The sequence below is a fragment of the Homo sapiens genome, chromosome 20 (assembly GCF_000001405.40).
Source record: "Homo sapiens chromosome 20, GRCh38.p14 Primary Assembly".
In the NCBI taxonomy this organism is placed as follows: Eukaryota; Metazoa; Chordata; class Mammalia; order Primates; family Hominidae; genus Homo; species Homo sapiens.
In genome coordinates, this window is record NC_000020.11 from 43,643,246 (window position 1) to 43,664,791 (window position 21,546).

Below are 21,546 nucleotides of genomic sequence, written 5' to 3' on the forward strand. Positions count from 1 at the left end.
GAGGCCGAGGCAGGTGGTTCAGCTGAGGTCAGGAGTTTGAGACCAGCCTGGCGAACATGGTGAAACTCCATCTCTACTAAAAATATAAAAATTAACCAGGTGTGGTGGTGCACGCCTGTAATCCCAGCTACTAGGGAGGCCGAGGCAGGGGAATCTCTTGAACCCAGGAGGCGGAGGTTGCAGTGAGCCAAGATGGCACCACTGTACTCCAGCCTGGGTAAGAGAGTGAGACTCTGTCTCAAAAAAAAAACAAAAAAATAGAGCTGGGTAAGAGGGATCAAGTGTGCTGAGTGTGGCCATGATGACTGGTGAGTATTAAATAGGGAGATCAGGGTGGGTTTCATTGCAAAGTTGTATTGGAGCAAAGATTTGAAGGTGTTGAGAGACTTAGCCATGCAGATATCTGGGGGAGGAGTGTCCCAGGCAGAGGGGAGATGTGTGCAAAGTTCCTAAGGCTGGGCTGTGCCTGGTATGCTTGACGAACGGCAGTGATGCCAGTGTGACAAGAGAACAGAGGAAAGGACAGAGCAGTAGAACATGAGGTGATCACCTTATGTAAGAAATGATTTTCTCAGGCCGGGCACCGTGGCCCACACCTGTAATCCCAGCAATTGGGAGCCCAAGGCGGGCAGATCACAAAGTCAAGAGATTGAGACCATCCTGGCCAACATGGTGAAACCCCATCTCTACTAAAAATACAAAAATTAGCTGGGCGTGGTGGTGCATGCCTGTAGTCCCAGCTCCCATACTCGGGAGGCTGAGACAGGAGAATTGCTTGAACCTGGGAGGCGGAGGTTACAGTAAGCCAAGACCACACCACTGCAGTCCATCCAGCCTGGCGACAGAGCAAGACTCTGTCTCAAAAAAAAAAGAAAAAGAAATCATCTTTCTCTGACTGAGGACCAAGAACTTCAAAATTATCCCTGGCCTTCTTTTTTCCAAGGATTTCAAAAATTGAATGCCCAACCAGCTTTGGTAAATAGGCATTCATACACTACTGATGGAGAATAAGTTGGTTCCACTTGTCTGGAGATATTTTTATAATACTGTTGAAAAGCCCTAAAATGTATATACCGTTGACCCATTCTAATCTTCAGAATTTGTTTTAATAATATAATTCGGAATACGTACAGATTTATCAACCAGGATTCTCAGTGCCACATTATTTTATAGAAGAAAAATCTTCATCAATAGGGAACTGGTTAAGTATCCTAGGGTACATCCATAAGATAAAAAATGTTTTTAAAAATGTTTGGCCAGGAATGGTGGCTCACGCCTGTAATCCCAGCACTTTGGGAGGCTGAGGCGGGTGGATCACGAGGTCAGGAGTTCAAGACTAGCCTGACCAACATGGTGAACCCTCCTCTCTACTAAAAATACAAAAATTAGCCAGGTGTGGTGGCGTGCACCTGTAGTCCCTGCTACTCAGGAGGCTGAGGCAGGAGAATTGCTTGAACCCGGGAGACAGAGGTTGGCAGTGAGCCAAGAACGTGCCATTGCACTCCAGCCTGGGAGACAGAGTGAGACTCTATCTCAAAAAAATAAATAAAAAATAAAAATAAAAATGTTTAAGGACTTGGGCCAGGCGCTGTGGCTCACATCTGTAATCCCAACACTTTGGGAGGCTGAGGTGGGCGGATCACTTGAGGTCAGGAATTCGAGACCAGCCTGGCCAACATGGTGAAACCCCATCTCTACTAAAAATAAAAAAATCAGCTGGGTGTGGTGGCCCGTGCCTGTAGTCCCAGTTACTCAGGAGGCTGAGGCAAGAGATTCGCTTGAACCTGGGAGGCGGAGGTTGCAGTGAGCCAAGATTGCACCACTGTACTCCAACCTGGGCAACAGAGTAAGACTCAAAAAAAAAAAAGTTTAAGGACTTGGGAATACATTCGTGATACAGTAAATATGTGGTGGGGAGAGACTAAAGAACAGTATATAGAGAGATTCTACTTTCTTTACAGAATACAATACACACATAGAATTATTTTGCATAATAAAAAAATAACATAAAGATATTTATCCTTGGGGCCCAGTGCGGTGGCTCACGCCTGTAATTAATCCCAGCACTTTGGGAGGCCAAGGCAGGTGGATCACGAGGTCAGGAGATCGAGACCATACTGGCTAACACAGTGAAACCCCGTCTCTACTAAAAATACAAAAAATTAGCCGGCCGTGTTGGCGGGTGCCCATAGTCCCAGCTACTCAGGAGGCTGAGGCAGGAGAATGGTGTGAACCCGGGAGGCAGAGCTTGCAGTGAGCTGAGATCATGCCACTGCACTCCAGCCTGGGTGACAGAGTAAGACTCTGTCCCCCCCAAAAAAAGAAGATATTTATCCTTGGGCTGGGCACAGTGGCTCACGCTTGCAATCCCAGCACTTTGGGGGGCCAAGGTAGGTGAATCATTTAAGCCCAGGAGTTCTAGTCCAGCCTGGGCAACAGAAACTCCACATCCATAAAAAAATACAAAAATTAGCCAGGTGTGGTGGTGTGCACCTGTAGTCCCAGCTACTTGGGAGGCTGAGGTGGGAGGATCATCTGAGCCTGGGGAGGTTGAGGTTGCAGTGAGCAGTGATCATGCCACTGCACTCCATCCAGGGTGATAGAGTGAGACCCTGTTTAAAAAAAAAAAAAAAAGATAGTGTTTAATTTTTATTTTCCTTCTTTATTAAAATTTCTATAGTGGGCCGGGCGCGGTGGCTCACGCCTGTAATCCCAGCACTTTGGGAGGCCGAGGCAGGAGGATCATGAGGTCAGGAGATCGAGACCATCCTGGCTAACATGTGAAACCCCGTCTCCACTACAAATACAAAAAAAAATTAGCCGCGCGTGGTGGCGGGCACCTGTAGTCCCAGCTACTCGGGAGGCTGGGGCAGGAGAATGGCATGAACCTGGGAGGCAGAGCTTGCAGTGAGCCGAGATCACGCCACTGCACTCCAGCCTGGGTGACAGAGCGAGACTCGTCTCAAAAAAAAAAAAAAAATTCTATAGTGACTGTGTCACTTTTGCAGCAAAAAAAGAGTGTTTTGTTGTTTAATGTAAGCAGGCAAAATTCAAGCTTAGGATTTCAGATGCTGAGTGGAAAGACCAATTAGGTTCTGAGCCTCTCCTGGAAGGAAGCTGGCTGTGCCGGATGCTCATTTGGCAGTGTTTTACTCTCCACGTCTAGCATGGTGCTGGAGGCTGGGGCCATAGCAGTGAACAAGATGATTGCGGTTCTTGCTGTGCCTCTCAGAGCTCTGTGTAGTGGGAGACAGAAGTGTATTGGCAGTTACCGTGGTCTAAGTGCCATCCATGAAGGGAACCCAGAGATGAGGGTTTTGATGTGGCTGCTCAGCAGTGAATGATGGGATGGGAGGTCAGGTAGGTTCCCAGCAGTACTCACTCTGGTGGCATGCTAGGACAGACACCCGAGGCCAATATAAGAAGTCTGGTGTGGTCTTTGCACCAGTGCTTTCAACTCTGTTTGTTACTCATCATGGTGGGTGGTGGGCAGTGGTCACAAGCCCTGCCATGGTAGGGCAAAAGGATCAAAATTTGATCCTTGGGTTGGATTCAGCCCTAAAGCCAGATATTATGTATATGTCCTAATTAATAAAGATTCAGAATCTCTAAAGTCCAAAGCACTGAAGAGTTTACATTTCAGGCTTTATACTGAAATACTAAAATTCTGTGTCTTATTCTCTCATCCAGGAACATGACATCGATACAAGTGAAACAGCATTCCAGAACAATTTCTGAAGACCATGCCTCTTGAAGCTTTTTCTGCCTCCTGATTCTCTCTTTGTAAACTATTTTCAAATTGTTTTTCAACTCCTTATCAAAATTGTTTATACACTCTTTCCTCCATGAGCTCTGGAAGGTATATGCATCTTCTGTAATACTCAGATAGGTATAAGATTTTTCACAAAATCCTTATGTAAGATACATTCCATTTTTAAAAATTAAATGTATGGTTGCATCTGTCTTTTTATACCCTATGAAACAGTCTTGATTTTTTTTTCTCAACCCCAGTTCTGGATTTGAGTCTTTTATCAAAGACATAATTAACTCTCAAGCTTGTTGTAAATACTGTACAGCTTTCTGGACCGGTTGAAAGGATACAACAGTGGCTGGACACGGTGGCTCACTCATGTAATCCCAGCACTTTGGGAGGCCGAGGCGGGCGGATCATTTGAGGTCAGGAGTTCAAGACCAGCCTGGCCAACATGGTGAAACCTGTCTCTACTAAAAATACAAAAGTTAGCCAGGTGTGGTGGCATGTGCCTGTAATCCCAGCTACTTGGGAGGCTGAGACAGGAGAATCACTTGAATCTGGGAGGCAGAGGTTGCAGTGAGCCGAGATCACGCCACTACACTCCCGCCTGGGTGACAGTGAGACTCTGTCTCAAAAAAAAAAGGGGGGGATGGGAGGCTAGGTGCAGTGGCTCATGCCTGTAATCCCAGCACTTTGGGAGACCGAGTTGGGTGGATCACGAGGGCAGGAGATCGAGACCATCCTGGCTAACATGGTGAAACCCCATCTCTACTAAAAGTACAAAAAATTAGCCGGGCATGGTGGCACACACCTGTAGTTCCAGCTACTCGGGAGGGTGAGGCAGGAGAATCACTTGAACCCGGGAGGCGGAGGTTGCAGTAAACTGAGATCACACCACCACATACCAGTCTGGGTGTCAGAGCAAGACTCTTGTCTCAAAAAAAAAAAAAAAAAAGGATACAGAACTTAACCCATAGTCTGTTTACCCCACTGTACCTAAAGAAGAAGATAAAAGAGTAGACAGATACCTTCCTTATATAGATCTCATCCCTTCATCTCCCAGTTGCCCATAGGACACAACCATGTAGAGCAAGCTTGTCCAACCCGCAGCCCATGGGCTGCATGTGGCTTAGGACGGCTTTGAATGTGGCCTAAAACAAATTTGTAAACTTTTTTTTTTTTTTTGGAGACGGAGTCTCGCTCTGTCACCCACGCTGGAGTGCAGTGGCGCGATCTCGGCTCACTGCAAGCTCTGCCTCCTGGGTTCACACCATTCTCCTGCCTCAGCCTCTCCGAGTAGCTGGGACTACAGGCGCCCGCCACCACGCCCGGCTAATTTTTAGTATTTTTAGTAGAGATGGGGTTTCACCGTGGTCTCGATCTCCTGACCTCATGATCCGCCCGCCTCAGCCTCCCAAAGTGCTGGGATTACAAGCGTGAGCCACCGCGCCCGGCCTACAAATTTGTAAACTCTTAAAACATTATGAGGCCAGGTGCAGTGGCTCATGCTTGTAATCCCAACACTTTGGGAGGCCAAGGTGGGTGGATCACCTGAGGCCAGGAGATAGAGACCAACCTGGCCAACAGGATGAAACCCTGTCCCTACAAAAAATACAAAAATTAGCCAGGTGTAGAGGCCTGGTACGGTGGCTCATGCCTGTAATCCCAGTTCTTTGGGAGGCCGAGGTGGATGGATCACTTGAAGTCAGGAGTTCAAGACAAGCCTGGCCAACATGGCGAAAACCTGTCTCTCCTAAAAATACAAAAATTACCCGGGTGTGGTGGTGCAGGCCTATAATCCCAGCTTCTCAGGAGGCTGGGGCAGGACAGTCGCTTGAACCCCAGAGGCAGAGGTTGTGGTGAGCTGAGGTTGTACCACTGCACTCCAGCCTGGGCAACAGAGCAAGACTGTCTCAAAAAAAAAAAAAAAATTAGCCAGACATGGTCAGGCATAGTGGCTCATAGCTGTAGTCCCAGCTACTTGGGAGGCTGAGGTGGGGAAAATCATTGAACCTGGGAGGCAGAAGTTGCAGTGAGCCAAGATCACATAACTGCACTCCAGCCTGGGTGACAGAGCAAGACTGTCAAAAAAAAAAAAAAAAATTAAGAGATAGATGTGTTTATTATTATTTTTATTTTTATTTTTTTTATTTTTTTTAAGAAGGAGTCTCGCCCTTTTGCCCAGGCTGGAGTGCAGTGGCGCTATCTTGGCTCACTGCAAACTCCACCTCCCAGGTTCATGCCATTCTCCTGCCTCAGCCTCCCAAGTAGCTGGGACTACAGGCACCCACCACCATGCCTGGCTAATTTTTTGTATTTTTAATAGAGACGAGGTTTCACTGTGTTAGGCAGGATGGTCTCGATCTCCTGACCTCATGATCCACCAGCCTCGGCCTCCCAAAGTGCTGGGATTACAGGTGTGAGCCACTGCACCCGGCCATTATTATTATTTTTTTAGCTCATCAGCCATTGTTAGTGTATTTTGTGTGACCCAAGACAATTCTTCCAATGTTGCCCAGGGAAGCCAAAAGATTAGATACTCCTGATTTAGAAGCTGAGCCTGGGGAACAAAAGTGAAAGTCCATCTCTACAAAAATGAAAATTAGCCAGGTATAGTGGCACACACCTGTAGTCCCAGGTATTTGGGAGACTGAGGTGGCAGGATTGCTTGAGCCCAGGAGTTCAAAGCTGCACTAGCTATGATCATACCACTGCACTCCAGAATGGGCCACCCATGCTTCTTCCCTGTCCTCTGGCTTCCTGAAGCACTCAGTTCTATCATCATCTTGGGTTATAATGTAGGGCCAAATTTAATCATCTGTTCCAAGGAGGCTAGAGGGTATTGTCATGGGACAATGGGAGAGACTGCACCTGTCAGAATGGTGCAGTTGGTGTATAGAAATGCACAGCAGTGTACTGACATACACAGATAACCAGCTTTGGGGAACTCTGAAAGCCAGATGGAAGGTTGCAGAGCCACTGAGGATAGGAGAGGAGAGAAGGGAGAGGAGAGGAGAGGAGGGGAGGGGAGGGGAGGTGGGAGGAAAGGGGGGAGGGGGGAGGGGAGGAGCAATTCCCATTGCTGCACAATGGGAATAGTTTAGCTGGTGGGTTCTATAAAGATGGGAATGGTAGAAGGATGGTCATTTACAGAAGAGTTTGATACAACCCCAAGAGCAAATAATAAGGATGTGGACTAAGGTGGTATTATAGGAAAGGTGGCATTTTGAAACACTTTGGTCTGGGTGTTGAAAGTTAGATTGGCAAGATTTGGGGCTTGATTTCCTGGGACAGTGGGGGCAGCTATTAAAAGATGGGGAGTCTAGGCCAGGCACGGTGGCTCATGCCTGTAATCCCAGCAATTTGGGAGGCCGAGACGGGCAGATCACCTGAGATCAAGAGTTCTAGACCAGCCTGGCCAACATGGTGAAACCCCGTCTCTACTAAAAATACAAAAATTAGCCTGGCGTGGCGGGCGCCTGTAATCCCAGCTACTCAGGAGACTGAGGTGGGAAAATTGCTTGAACCCGGGAAGTGGAGGTAGCAGTGAGTCGAGATCATGCCATTGCACTCCAGCCTGGGTAACGAGGGAAACTCTATTAAAAAAAAAAAGATGGGGAGTCTGAAGGATGAGTGGTTTTGGAGCATAAGAGTCCAGTTGAGACTATGGCAATTAATACAGGTGGAAATAACTAGTAAATGGCTGGAAATCCCTAATTTAGGCTTAGAAAAGATGTCCAGTCTCAAGAGTGGAGTTGTTCATATGGAGTGGTTAATTAAAGTCATGAGAATCATTTGTCAAAGAGTAGTGTTAGAAATTTAAAAGCTTGGGAAGAACAGCTCAAGTCAAATCCTGAGTTTCAAATGATTTCTTCATGGTAAAGCTCTGTTCATAGGCTTCCATTCTCTCCCATACTCAAGCCCTAGTACACGGCTTATTCAGAGTTGCCAGCCAGGGCAGGGCACTGGGGAACGGGGAAGCCACTCCAGGGGCAGAAGAATTTGGGGGCTCTAGCTCAAAGCTGGGAGATAAGCAGCTAGAGGACAGGCCTGGGGAGTGCTGTGGCAGTGTGTTCCAAATACATACCCAAAATGTGTTCAATGATTGTCTCCCAACCCAAATGCTCTTCTCTTATCCTGTGGGCTTGATGCTCCTCCCATTGAGAGGTGGGGTCTCTGTTCCCTCCTCTGAATCTTTGAATCTGGCACCGTGGCAGAAGTGATGCTGGTGACCTCTGAGGCTAGTTCATAAAAGGCTATACAGCTTCTGCCTGGTTATCTTGGGACATTCACCTTTAGAACACAAGCCTCCATGTAAGAAGTCCAAGGCCACGTGGATAGGCCATGTATAGGTGTTCTGGCCAACAGCCAGAGATCTCAGTCTATACCAGCATCTTGGTATAAATCGCTTGCCAAACATGAATGATGATACCTCCAAATGACTCCTGGCCCCAACCATCAAGCACCTCAGCCTTTTGTCATCCCAATTGAGGTCCCAGATGTCATAGAGCAGAGACAAGCCATCCCTGCTGTGTTCTTTGTGAATTCCTGACTCCCAGAATCCATGAATATAATAAAATGGGAAGGAAGGTGTGCCCTCACTGCCATTTTGTTATATTTGTTTTTATTTTTATTTTTGTTTTTTTGTTTTGTTTTGTTTTTTGAGACAGGGTCTCATTCTGTCTCCCAGGCTGGAGTGCAGTGACACAATCTCAGCTCACTGCACCCTCTGCCTCCCAGGTTCAAGTGATTCTCCTGCCTCAGCCTCCCCAATAGCTGGGATTACAGGCACGTGCCAACACGCCTGGCTAATTTTTTGTATTTTTAGTAGAGACAAGGTTTCACCATGTTGACCAGGCTGGTCTCAAACTCCTGACCTCAAGTGATCCACCCGCCTCGGCCTCCCAAAGCGCTGTGATTACAGGCGTGAGCCACTGCGCCCAGCCTTGTTTTTGATTTTTTTGAGACAGGGTCTTGCTCTGTTGCCCAGGCTGAAGTGCACTGGTGTGATCATAGCTCACTGTAACCTCAACCTCCTGGGCTCAAGCAATCCTCCTGCTTCAGCTTTCCGAGTAACTGGGACTACAGGTGTATGCTACCATACCCAGCTAATTTTAAAAAATGTATTTTAAAATACATTGAGTGGCTGGGCGCAGTGGCTCATGCCCGTAATCCCAGCACTGTGGGAGGCTGAGGGGGGCAGATCACGAGGTCAGGAAATCGAGACCATCCTGGCTAACACGGTGAAACCCCATCTCTACTAAAAAATACAAAAAAATTAGCCGGGCATGGTGGCAGGCGCCTGTAGTCCCAGCTACTTGGGAGGCTGAGGCAGGAGAATGGCGTGAACCCAGGAGGCGGAGCTTGCAGTGAGCGGAGATCGGGCCACTGCACTCCAGCCTGGGCGACAGAGTGAGACTCGTCTCAAAGAAAAGAAAAAAAAAAAAAAAATATATATATATATATATATATATAGAGAGAGAGAGAGAGAGAGAGAGAGAGTCTTTCGTCTGAGCCGCCAAAATGCCATCCAGACTGAGGAAGACCCAGAAACTTCGGGGCCATGTGAGCCATGGCCATGGCCGCATAGGCAAGCTCCAAAAGCACCCCAGAGGCCACAGTAATGCTGGTGGAATGCATCACCACAGGATCAACTTCAACAAATACTACCCAGGTTACTTTGGGAAAGTTGGTATGAGGTATTACTTAAAGAGAAACCAGAGTGGCCGGGCGCGGTGGCTCACACCTGTAATCCCAGCACTTTGGGAGGCCGAGGCGGGTGGATCATGAGGTCAGGAGATCGAGACCATCCTGGCCAACAAGGTGAAACCCCGTCTCTACTAAAAATACAAAAAATTAGCCGGGCACGGTGGCGGGCGCCTGTAGTCCCAGCTACTCGGGAGGCTGAGGCAGGAGAATGGCGTGAACCCGGGAAGCGGAGCTTGCAGTGAGCCGAGATTGCGCCACTGCAGTCCGCAGTCCGGCCTGGGTGACAGAGCGAGACTCCGTCTCAAAAAAAAAAAAAAAAAAAAAAAAAAAAAAGAGAAACCAGAGTTTCTGCCCAGCTGTCAGCCTTGACAAATTGTGGACTTTGGTCAGTGAGCAGACACAGGTGAATGCTGCTAAAAACAAGCCTGGGGCTGCTCCCCTCATTGATGTGGTGCAATCGGGCTACTACAAAGTTCTGGGAAAGGAAAAGCTCCCAAAGCAGCCTGTCATTGTGAAGGCCAAATTCTTCAGCAGAAGAGCTGAGAAGATTAAGGGTGTCAAGGGGACCTGTGTCCTGGTGGCTTGAGGCCACATGGAGGGAGGTTCATTAAATGCTAACTACTTAAAAAAAACAAATAGGCCAGGTGCAGTGGCTCACGCCTGTAATCCCAGCACTTTGGGAGGCCGAGGTGGGTGGATCACCTGGTTGGGAGTTCAAGACCAACCTGACCAACATGGTGAAACCCCGTCTCTACTAAAAATACAAAAAGCCAGGTGTGATGGCGCATGCCTGTAATCCCAGCTACTCGGGAGGCTGAGGCAGGAGAATCGCTTGGACCCGGGAGGTGGAGGTTGTGGTGAGCCGAGATCGCGCCATTGCACTCCAGCCTGGGCAACAAGAGTGAAAACTCCGTCTCAAAAAATAAATATAAATTTTTAAAATTATATATATATATTTTTGGGCTGTGGGGAGCTGGGCATAGTGGCTCATGCCTGTAATCCCAGCACTTTGGGAGGCCAAGGCGGGAGGATTGCTTGAGCCCAAAAGTTTGAGACCAGCCTGGGCAACATAGCAAGACCCCATCTCTATTTATTTTTATTTGAGATGAAATTGCAGACATCATAGCACTTTACCCCAAAACAAATAAATATCTATAGAAATAAATATTGCCCAGGCTGGTCTTAAACTCCTAGCCTAAAGCGATCCTCCCACTTTGGCCTCCCAAAATGCTGGGATTACAGGCATGAGTCACTACACCTGGCCTTAAAATGGCAGTTTTAAGCCACTGATTTGGAGTAATTTGTTATACAGCAATAGGTAACTAGAATAAACACCTGTAATCTTACAAGGAACTTTTTGGTTCTATCTGAATCTAATCCAACTTCCACTTTCACTTTTCAAAGGGATAACTGAGGCCTAGTTGCGGAAGAGACTGGCAATCTGCCTACTAACCAGGAGTTTCTCCCACCACGCTCTCCTGACCAAGAAGGTGCCTTGGAGGAAGCAAGGCCTGTTCTGCCACAGGGTCAGTAGGCTTTTCGCCTTCATCCATGGATGGCTTGTGGCAAGGATATATTTTTTCTCCCATTTATGTGAAAACTTTGAAACTAATTGTGTGTTCTGTGAATGCTTAGCTCTCTTGAATTGGGGTAATGGTTATTGTTTATAGAGCATAAGCCAAGTTTTATATTCTACAATGCAAACAGGTACCTGTTTCTAAATAAAACTGTTTACATTAAAAAAAGAAAAAACAAAACTTTGAGGGCCGGGCGTGGTTGCTCATGCCTGTAATCCCACCACTTTGGGAGGCCAAGGTGGGCAGATCACTTGAGGCCAGGAGTTCAAGACCAGCCTGGCCAACATGACGAAACCCCGTCTCTACTAAAAATGCAAAAATTATCCGGGTGTGGTGGTGTGCGCCTGTAATCCCAGCTACTCAAGAGGCTGAGGCAGGAGAATCCCTTGAACCCGAGAGACAGAGGTTGCAGTGAGCCAAGATTGCATCACTGTACTCCAGCCTGGGCAACAGAGCAAAACTCCGTCTCAAAAAAAATAAAAAACCCACTTTGAAACAGAAAAGTGTGAAGAATACTATATTAAACACCAGTGTGCCCATCAGACTTTAAAAAATTGTTAATATATTGCCATATATGCTTTCCGTATGTATAATCATTTTTATTTTTATTTTTTTTACATGTAGACCTTAAAATCCCAATGTATAGGCCAGGCGCAGTGGCTCACGCCTGTAATCCCAGCACTTTGGGAGGCCAAGGCGGGCAGATCACTTGAGGTCAGGAGTTCAAGACCAGCCTGGCCAACATGGCAAAACCCTGTCTCTACTAAAAATACAAAAATTAGCCGGGTGTGGTGGCGGGCGCCTGTAGTCCCAGCTACCTGGGAGGCTGAGGCAGGAGAATTGTTTGAACCTGGCAGGCGGAGGTTGTGGTGAGCTGAGGTTGTGCCATTGTACTCCAGCCTGGGCGACAGAGCAAGACTCTGTCTCGAAAAAAAAAAAAAATCCCAATATATGCATAATCTTTTTTTTTTTTTTTTTTTTGAGATGGAGTCTTGCCCTGTCACCCAGGCTGGAGTGCAGTGGCATAACCTTGGCTTGCTGCAACCTCTGCCTCTCAGGTTCAAGCGATTCTCCTCCTGAGTAACTGGGACTACAGCCATGAGCCACTGACCCTGGCCTGTATAATCAATTTTTTTTTTTAGACAGAGTCTTGCTCTATTGCCCAGGCTGGATGGAGTGCAGTGGCACAATCACTGCAACCTTCGCCTCCTGGGTTCAAGTAATTATCCTTGAGCCTCCCGAGTAGCTGGGATTACAGGCATGCACTACCATGCCGGGCTAATTTTTTGTATTTTTAGTAGAGACAGGGTTTTACTATGTTGGCCAGGCTGGTCTCAAACTCCTGACCTCATGATCCGCCCGCCTCAGCCTCCCAAAGTGCTGGGATTATAGGCGTGAGCCACGTCACCCGGCCCTGTATAATCTTTTTTACCAAACATTTGAAATGAAATTGCAGACAGAATAGTATTTTACCCCTAAATACTTCATTGTATAATGCCATTATCATTTCTATTACTTAATGTTTAATACATATTCAGACTGTCCCCTAATTGCCCCCAGAATGTTTTATAGATTTTTTTTTCAAGCCAGGATTTAGTCAGTCTTCACACATTGTATTTGACTGTCTCTTTAAATCCAGAACAGTCTCCCTCTTTTTTTTACAAATGATCTTTTTTTTTTTTTTTCAGACAGGGTCTTGCTGTGTTACCCCGGATGGAATACAGTGGCACAATCATAGCTCACTGCAGCCTCAACTTTCTGGACTCAATTGATCCTCCCACCTCAGCCTCCACAGTAGCTGGGACTACAGGCGTGCACCACCATGTCCAGCAAATTCTTTAATTTTTTGTAAAGACAGGGTCTCACTGTGTTGCCCAGGCTGGTCTGGAACTCCTGGACTCAAGTGATCCTCCCACCTTGCCCTCCCGAAGTATTTGGTTTACAGGCATGAGCCACTCCTCCTGACCAGACACTGATTTTTTGAAAAGATCAAATTAGGGGTCTTGCAGATTATCTCACATTCTGGATTTATCTCATTGCTTCATCATAGTGTCTATTAATTTGTTCCTTTATCTTATTTCCTGTAAACTGAAGTTAGGTCTGAAGGCTTGACTGTGAATTAAACATTTTTGGCAAGAATATTTCATAGGTGGTGATGTCAGATTAGTTTTTATTAGTAAAATTAAGCTTAACTAGCTAAAGTGGTGAGCAGGGGTGTTTTGTTTTGTTTTGTTTTTTGTTTTTTTGAGACGGAGTCTTGCTCTGTCGCCCAGGCTGGAGTGCAGTGGCACAATCTCGGCTCACTGTAACCTCCGCCTCCCAGGTTCACGCCATTCTCCTGCCTCAGCCTCCCGAGTAGCTGGGACTACAGGCGCCCGCTACCACGCCTGGCTAATTTTTTGTATTTTTAGTAGAGACGGGGTTTCATCGTGTGAGCCAGGATGGCCTCGATCTCCTGACCTCGAGATCCGCCCGCCTCGGCCTCCCAAAGTGCTGGGATTACAGGCGTGAGCCACACGCCCGGCGCAGGGGTGTTTTTAAATTCAAACAAGTGTTCCAACTTCACTCTTAAAAATAAAAAAGCAACGACAACCAAAAACAAAACCAAAAGAAGAAAACATATATACCAGTCCTAGCAGGTAACAGTGTAAAAATAACTGGAGATCGCGCCACTGCACTCCAGCCTGGGCAACAGAGCGAGACTCCGTCTCAAAAACAAAAACAAAAACAAACCCCTCTGATCCCCGAGTTTTCTGGGAGACTGATTTGAGTAATAATACAACTCTGGTCTCCCGCACAGCCCGCTCCGCGCGTGAATTACCCTTTCTCTATTGCAATTGCCGTCTTGATAAATCGGCTGTGTCCAGGCAGAGGGCAAGGTGAAACCCCTTCGGCAACCTTACAGGGCTGCCCTTCCGCAGCTCACAGCCTAATTGCTGAGAGAAATTAACCTAATAATAGTTGCAAACGGAACACCGGGCATGCAGTGTGAGGGGCTGGTCCAGAGCCTCTGACCCACACTGGGAAGTCATGGACCGTTCAGGGGTCGGGGGCGACACAATGTCCGAGGTCTGCGACGTCCCTCCCTTGCTCCCTCTCATCCCTGCGACTTTCTTTCACCCGTCCTCCACACGAACGAGACCACGCCACCGAGAAGAAGCCTCTGGGGCGCGGGGCTGGTTAGAGCCCCAGAGCCGTCGCAGCCCGGCTCCAGGTGTACCTGCGCACAGGCGCCCCACGGTGACGTCAGGGACGCGACTCCCGCGATGCCCCGCGGGCCGCCTGATCCCAGGCGCGGGCTCAGACTGGGATCTCGGAGTTCCCCTGCGCCCTCCTGACGGTGCAGTCTGGCGGCCCGTGGCGCGGGCGCTGCCATGGAGCATCCTGGAGCCTTTGGCCTCGGTTTACATGGGAGGCCCCTCGAAACAGGGCACGTCACTTGCCCCGGGTCACCTGCGGGCGGCGAGACTCTCGGGTTGACTCCAAGGCCTGACATTCCCCTCCGGTTTTCACGGAGGAGGGTGAGGATGTTGCCAGGAGCTGCCGTAAGGCTGGAGGAGCTTGCGGTTGGGTCCACCCGCCTCTGGGCAGGCCTTAGCGTTCACCCGCGGTTTCTCCCTGACTTTGAACCCAAACTCCCTACCCCGCAAGTCCTTCCCTGTTTGATTGCTGAACTCCAAGTGACAGAAGAACTGAACTGCAAGTGACAGAAGAACTAAGTGTTGGCGAAAGCTGATGCTCCAGAGGGTGCAGAGTAGAGGTCAGGGGTGGGGGCCTCGCCATGGGGTATGTATAATGTAGCCCAGGGTCCTGGCACCGAGTCTCTTCAGGAATGCAAGGGATTTGGATTAGATGGTGTCTTAGAGATCTAAATTATCCCCCTTTGCAATTGCATACCTAAAGAAACCGCTAGGGCTGGCATGAGCCTGGAAAAACACAGGCAGGGTTAATGGCCCTGTCCTTTAGTCAGTGGCCCCACACTTCTTCCAGTGACTCAGAAGGGGCCCCTGGAGTCATGCAAATGGAACATATCCATCATGCGCCAAAACGTGCTTGTGTCTCCTTGTAATCCCTTCCTCTCCACAACCATTGTCACTTTAGATTGGTTTCTGTCACTTTAGATTTGTGTGTAACTTCTAGAGTTTTTTTTTTTTTTTGAGGCAGAGTCTCACTCTGTCATCCAGGCTGGAGTGCAATGGCGTGATCTCGGCTCACTGCAACCCCTGCCTCCCAGGTTCAAGTGATTGTCCTGCCTCAGCCTCCCAGGTAGCTGGGATTACAGGCGTCAGCCACCGTGCCTGGCCTAGAGTTTTATATAAATAGTCTTATAGGCCGGGCATGGTGGCTCACGCTTGTAATCCCACCACCTTGGTAGGCCTAGGTGGGTAGATCACTTGAGGTCAGGAGTTTGAGACCAGCCTGACATGGCGAAACCCTATCTCTACTAAAAATACAAAAATTACCCGGGTGCAGTGGCTTGTGCCTATAATCCCAGCCACCTGGGAGGCTGAGGCAGGGCAATCACTTGAACCCAGGAGGTGGAGGTTGCAGTGAGCCGAGAACATGCCACTGCAGTCCAGCAGGGGCGACAGAGTGAAACTCCATCTCAAAAAAAAAAAAGAAATTAGCCTGGCATGGTGGTGTGTACCTGTAGTTCCAGCTACTCAGGAGGCTGAGGTGGGATGATGGCTTGAGCCTGGGAGATGGAGGCTGCAGTGAGCCAAGATCGCTCCACTGCACTCCAGCCTGGACTATAGAGCCAGACCTTGTCTCTAAAAAATTTAAAAATTAAGAAAAAAATCATACAGTATGCTCTCTTTTGCTTCTTTTGGCACAGTTTGTAACTTATTTATATTTTATCAATAATTTATTCCATTTGCTGAGTAGTATTCCACTGTATGGATATATTTGTTTTTTATCTATAATTTGTTTATTCAGTCACCTGTTGACATTTAGGTTGTTTCCAGTTTGGGGTTGTAACAAACAAAGCTATCTAAAAGCTTTGTGTGGAGATATGTATTCATTTTTCTTGGAGTGACTAGATGATATGATAGGTGTATATTTAAGGTTTTTTTTTCTTCTTTTTTTGAGACAGAGTTTCGCTTTGTTATCCAGGCTGGGGTGCAGTGGCGTGATCTTGGCTCAGTACAACCTCCACCTCCCAGGTTCAAGTGATTCTCTTGCCTCAGTCTCTCGAATAGCTGGGATTACAGGTGCGCACCACCATGTCCAGCCCTTTTTTTTTTTTTTTTTTTTTTTTTTGAGATGGAGTCTTGCTCTGTCGCCCAGGCTGGAGGGCAGTTGCGCGATCTCGGCTCACTGCAAGCTCCGCCTCCCGGGTTCACGCCATTCTGCCTCAGCCTCCCGAGTAGCTGGGACTACAGGCGCCTGCCACCACACCCGGCTAATTTTTTGTATTTTTTAGTAGAGACTGGGTTTCACCATGTTAGCCAAGATGGTCTCGATCTCCTGACCTCGTGATCCACCCGCCTAAGCCTCCCAAAGTGCTGGGATTACAAGCGTGAGCCACTGTGCCTGGCCCTATTTAAATTTTTAAGAAACAGTTTTCAGGCTAGGCATGGTGGCTCAAGCCTGTAATCCCAGCCTTTGGGAGGCCAAGGCAGGTGGATCACGAGGTCAGGAGTTTGAGACCAGCCAGTCTGAGTCACCCCGGTCAACATGGTGAAACCCCGTCTCTACTAAAAATACAGAAATTAGTCAGGTGTGGTGGTGGGTGCCTGTAGTCCCAGCTACTCGGGAGGCCCAGGCAGAAGAATTACTTGAACCTGGGAGGCGGAGGTTGCCGTGAGCCAAGATCTCACCACTGCACTCCAGCGTGGGATACACAGCGAGGCTCTATCTCAAAAAAACAAACAAACAAACAAAAACAGTTTTCAAAGTGGTTGTACAATTTTACATTCCCACCAGCAGTATTTGAGAATTCTAATTGCTCCCCATCTTCATCAACATTTGGTATAATTAGTCTTTTTAATTTTAGCCATTCTAATAGGCATGTAAATCTCATTGTGGTTTTAATTTACATTCCCCTAATTACATGGTATTGAGCATCTTTTCATGTGCTTTTGCCACTGGATATAGGATTTGCAGATGGATCAGATACGTGATGTGAGAGAAGAGTCAATGATTTTGAACCCTTGCCGATCCCTGAGTACTTCCTAATCCCCCTCCTCCTTGCCATGTGCTGGCTATTTCCTGTGCCATTCCCTGCATTGCAAATTCCTAAATCATCCAGCTCTAAAGAGCCTTCAGTGATCCTGTTGGGTGGGCACTCACAGTCCTGGCAATTGATCTTCACCTGTACAGAGCTAATTTTCCACTCATTATCTTCTGTACCAGTTGGTGAGCTTCCTGAGAATATGGATGGTTGGATTTTCTCGTTATGACTAACCTCTAGTTGTAGCCCAGACTCAGACTTTGAGTATACATCACAAATGGTACTCTCCAATCTCATATCAAGTTGTGGATGTTTTGCTTCAAGCTACCAGCCCTTAGCTATGTGATCAGTGCCATTTACTTAATATCTCTGTGTCTTAATTTGTTTGTTGTTAAAATGTTACCTGCCGCACAGAGTAATAAGCATTAAATGCAAAATAAGCCAGCGCAGTGGCTCATGCCTGTAACTCCAGCAAGTTGGGAAGCTGAAATGGGAGGATTGAACCCAGGAGTTTGAGCTTGTTTGAGCTCAGGAGTTCGAGGCTGCAGTGAGCTATGATGGCACCATTGCACTGCAGCTCCCCAGATTGGAGTGCAGTGGTGCCATCATAACTCACTGCAGCCTCAAACCAGAGTGAGACCCCATCTCTAAAAAAAAAAAAAAGCCAAAATGAATGTAAAACTCAATATGGTGCCAGGCACATAGTGTCTTCCCTAAAAAAATCATCCTGTTATTCTTATCTTTTTTTTTTTTTTCCTAGACAGGGTCTCACTCTATCACCCAGCTCAGAGTGCAGTGGCAAGATCTGGGCTCACTGCAACCCCTGCCTCCCAGGTTCAAGCAATTCTTGTGCCTCAGCCTTCCGAGTAGCTGAGACTACAGGTGAGTGGCACCACACCTGGCTAATTTTTGTATTTTCAGTAGAAATGGGGTTTCACCATGTTGGCCAAGCTGGTCTCGAACTCCTAGCCTCAAGTAATCTGCCCACCTTGGCCTTCCAAATTGCTGGGATTACATGCGTGAGCCACCTTGCCCAGCCAAGCTGTTGTTATTTTCTGATCTGAATACTTTGATAGTCCATTTCTGAAACTCAAAGATAGGTGTTTTGAAAATGGTTATTAATGTAATCTCAATCTTTTGAGTAGTAAAAGCTGACTTTGGGGGCCTGGCACGGTGGCTCACGCCTGTAATCCCAGCACTTTGGGAGGCCAAAGCAGGTGGATCACCTGAGGTCAGGAGTTCAAGACAAGCCTGACCAACATGGTGAAACCCCATGTTTCTACTAAAAATACAAAATTAGCCGGGTGTGGTGGTACATGCCTGTAATCCCAGCTACTTGGCAGGCTGAGGCAGGAGAATTGCTTGAACCCGGGAGGCAGAGGTTGCAGTGAGCCAAGATCATGGCGCCATTGCACTCCAGCTGGGCAAAAAAGAGCAAAACTGTGTCAAAAAAAAAAAAAAAGCAGGTATTGAATTAGTTTGATTCCTTGAATCAAGTAATTGAATTGCTTTCCTTCCTCCTTCCATTGAGATCCACATTGTTGTAGAAAGTGTCCCTTTCCAGGCTGAGTCCTTGGCCTCTTATGTCTATATGGCCACTTGTTTGCTACCATGTCTCTGTTCTCTACACTGATGCCCTGGAGTGGGACAGAAGAGTCTGAAAAACATCCCTTTGTTTCAAAATCTCTCTCTCTCATTTTTAGTAGAAACGAGATCTAGCTGTGTTATCCAGGCTGGTCCTGAACTCCTAGCCTCAAACTATCCTTTCACCTTGGCCTCCCAAAGTGTTGGGATTACAGGATTACATGTGAGCCACTGAACCCAGCCAACAGGTGTATGTAATAGTTTAAGGAGACTTGGTATTTAGGTTTTGATTTAACAAATTTTTTTGTACAGACGGGGGCGGGGGGTCTCACTATGTTGCCCAGGCTGGTCTCGAACTCCTGGCTTTACACAATCCTTCCACCTTGCCCTCCCAAAGTGCTGGGATTATTACAGGTATGAGTCACTGCACCTGGTCCCAAATCTCTTTTTGAGACAGAGTCTTGCTCTGTCACCCAGGCTGGAGTGCAGTGGCACAGTTTGGGCTCACGGCAACCTCCTCCTCCTGGGTTCAAGTGATTCTCATGCCTCATCCTCCTGAGTAGCTGAGACTGCAGGTTTGTGCCACCATGCCCAGGTAATTTTTGTATTTTTAGTAGATATGGGGTTTCACCATGTTGGCCAGGCTGGTCTCAAAGTCCTGACCTCAAAGTAATTTGCCTGCCTTGGCCTTCTAAAGTGCTGGGATTACGGGCATGACCACTGTGCCCAGCCTGAATCTCTTTTGATGACCCATATTTTATGAGATACAATTCAAACTCTAGCATTCCCAGCTTTCTCACTTGAGGTCCAAGCCTTTCTAACTCTCCAGCCCAAATGTTAGCTTTGTAACATTGCATCCACTCAATTTAAATGGAATGTGTAGAACCCCTTCCATGAGTACCTACCAGAAGCCAAGCTATAGTAAAGGTCTGAAGCTTAAAATGTGCACAGGCTGTCCTTTCTCTTGAGAGAGAAATAAAATGGTGGAGGAAGTGTGATGAGGACAAGAATGATAAGGAGGATGCTCTGGAGGTGGAGGGGGAAGACTCCAGCCAGAAGGGCCATGTGATTCTACTTATCATCAATTAGTGTTTGGTGTCCAAGCTGGTGCTGAGCCCTGAGCATTTAATAAATTGATTTGACCCTTATCTTCCCAACACAGGGTCAGGCCTGGGGGTTGGGGCAAATTGTGGAATAACCAAATACCTGGAGCCTCCCTGTCCAAGGAGGGCGTGTTCAGGAAAAGTTTCCCAGCAGAGATAAATTCTGTATGTTACTAGTCCAGAGTCCAGGGACCACTCCCAGGTGTGGTTTCACTCGGGACACTGGGAATCCTCTCTCCAGGGGATATCTGTTGGTATGATGATAACTGGAGAGGAAATGTGTGGAGATCATCAGATTCCATCTGGCACTAGGGTGATCTCCCTGCTGCCTGACTCACAGCACTGACTCCAGGCTTCTTTGGCTCTGGGGCATTGGTTAACTGGCCCCAGTTCCAGGTTGCAAGTGCACTCTGCAGCTGTTCCCTGCCTCTTGCTTTGGGCAGATACCTTGCCCAAGCTGTCAGGTCCTGCCTCTCCCTGAAATGGGATGACTAATGTGTGGACCTCAAAGGATAAGAGTGAGGGCAGCTGAAGAATTACAGTAGTAATAATAGCTAACAGTAATATAGTTCTTTTTTTGCTGGGCGCGGTGGCTCACGCCTGTAATCCTAGCACTTTGGGAGGCCGAGGTGGGTGGATTGCCTGAGATCAGGAGTTTGAGACCAGCCTGGGGAACATGGTGAAACCCCGATCTCTATTAAAATACAAAAAATTAGCCAGGCGTGGCGGAGTGCTTCTGTAACCCCAGCTACTCGGGAGGCTGGGGTTATTGAGACGGAGTCTTGCTCTGTTGCCAAGGCTGGAGTGCAGTGGCACGATCTCAGCTCACTGCAACCTCCGCCTCCAGGTTCAAGTGATTCTCCTGCCTCAGCCTCCTGAGTAGCTGGAGTTACAGGTGCATGCCGCCACGCCCGGCTAATATTTTATATTTTTAGTAGAGATGGGGTTTCACCATGTTGGCCAAGCTGGTCTCAAACTCCTGACCTTAGGTGACTCACTCGCCTCAGCTTCCCAAACTGCTGGGATTACAGGCATGAGCCACTGTGCCCGGCCAATATAGCTCTCATTATGTGCCAGGAACTGTTTTTGGTGCTTTACACATATTAATTTATTTAATCCTATAATTACCTACAAAGTATAGTGATTAAGAGCATAGACTCTAGAACTAGACAGGCCAGGTTTGAATCCCTGCTCTGCCATTTACTAGCACTGTGACCTTGGGGAAGTCTGTGCCTCAGTTTTCCCATCTGCTAAAAGAGGATAATCCCAGTATCTACCTCATAGAGTTGTTACAAGGATTAAATGAGTTACAATTTATAAACAGAATGCTGGCTGGAAATATTAGCTGGGCATGGCGGCGTGCTCCTGTAACCCCAGTTACTTGGGAGGCTGATAGTTTAAAAACTATCTAAAATTTTGATAAATCCCATTTTTCCAGGTGAGAAAACTGAGGCACAGAAGAGTTAGGTAATTGGCTGGGCATGATGGCTCATGCCTGTAATCCCAGCACTTTGGGAGTCTGAGTCGGGTAGATCACCTGAGGTCAGAAGTTCAAGACCAGCCTGGCCAACATGATGAAAACCCATCTCTACAAAAATACAAAAAATAGCCAGGCATGCTGGCGCATTCCTGTAGTCCTAGCTA

General features: G+C 47.5%; 1 protein-coding gene, 1 long non-coding RNA gene and 1 pseudogene across 8 annotated transcripts in view, besides 3 other annotated features; all 3 read left to right on the forward strand.

Annotated features, from left to right (window-relative positions):
- The window catches only part of IFT52 (intraflagellar transport 52), a 56,363-nt gene extending 52,309 nt beyond the window's left edge, over window positions 1–4,054 (forward strand). For all 7 annotated transcript variants that reach the window (NM_001323578.2, NM_001323579.2, NM_016004.5 and 4 more), the window contains one exon: window positions 3,691–4,054. In NM_001323578.2, coding sequence (NP_001310507.1) covers window positions 3,691–3,738 — 48 coding nt within the window. In that variant the 3' untranslated portion in view covers window positions 3,739–4,054. The remainder of the gene's footprint in view (window positions 1–3,690) is intronic.
- RPL27AP (ribosomal protein L27a pseudogene) lies at window positions 9,259–10,087 on the forward strand (annotated as a pseudogene).
- LOC124904906 (uncharacterized) lies at window positions 10,678–13,181 on the forward strand. Its single transcript, XR_007067593.1, has 2 exons — window positions 10,678–10,989; window positions 12,729–13,181. It is a non-coding gene; the product is annotated as an uncharacterized LOC124904906 (long non-coding RNA).
- Window positions 13,462–14,057: an enhancer, noted in NCBI's record as "H3K27ac hESC enhancer chr20:42285347-42285942 (GRCh37/hg19 assembly coordinates)". NCBI's record gives its function as "activates a minimal SCP1, AML or CMV promoter by ChIP-STARR-seq in primed H9 embryonic stem cells {active_cell/tissue: H9 hESC(primed)}" and the evidence as "EXISTENCE:reporter gene assay evidence [ECO:0000049][PMID:30033119]".
- Window positions 13,490–13,559: a silencer, noted in NCBI's record as "silent region_12928". NCBI's record gives its function as "represses an Ori minimal core promoter by ATAC-STARR-seq in GM12878 lymphoblastoid cells {active_cell/tissue: GM12878}" and the evidence as "EXISTENCE:reporter gene assay evidence [ECO:0000049][PMID:35858748]".
- Window positions 14,380–14,519: an enhancer, noted in NCBI's record as "active region_17905". NCBI's record gives its function as "activates an Ori minimal core promoter by ATAC-STARR-seq in GM12878 lymphoblastoid cells {active_cell/tissue: GM12878}" and the evidence as "EXISTENCE:reporter gene assay evidence [ECO:0000049][PMID:35858748]".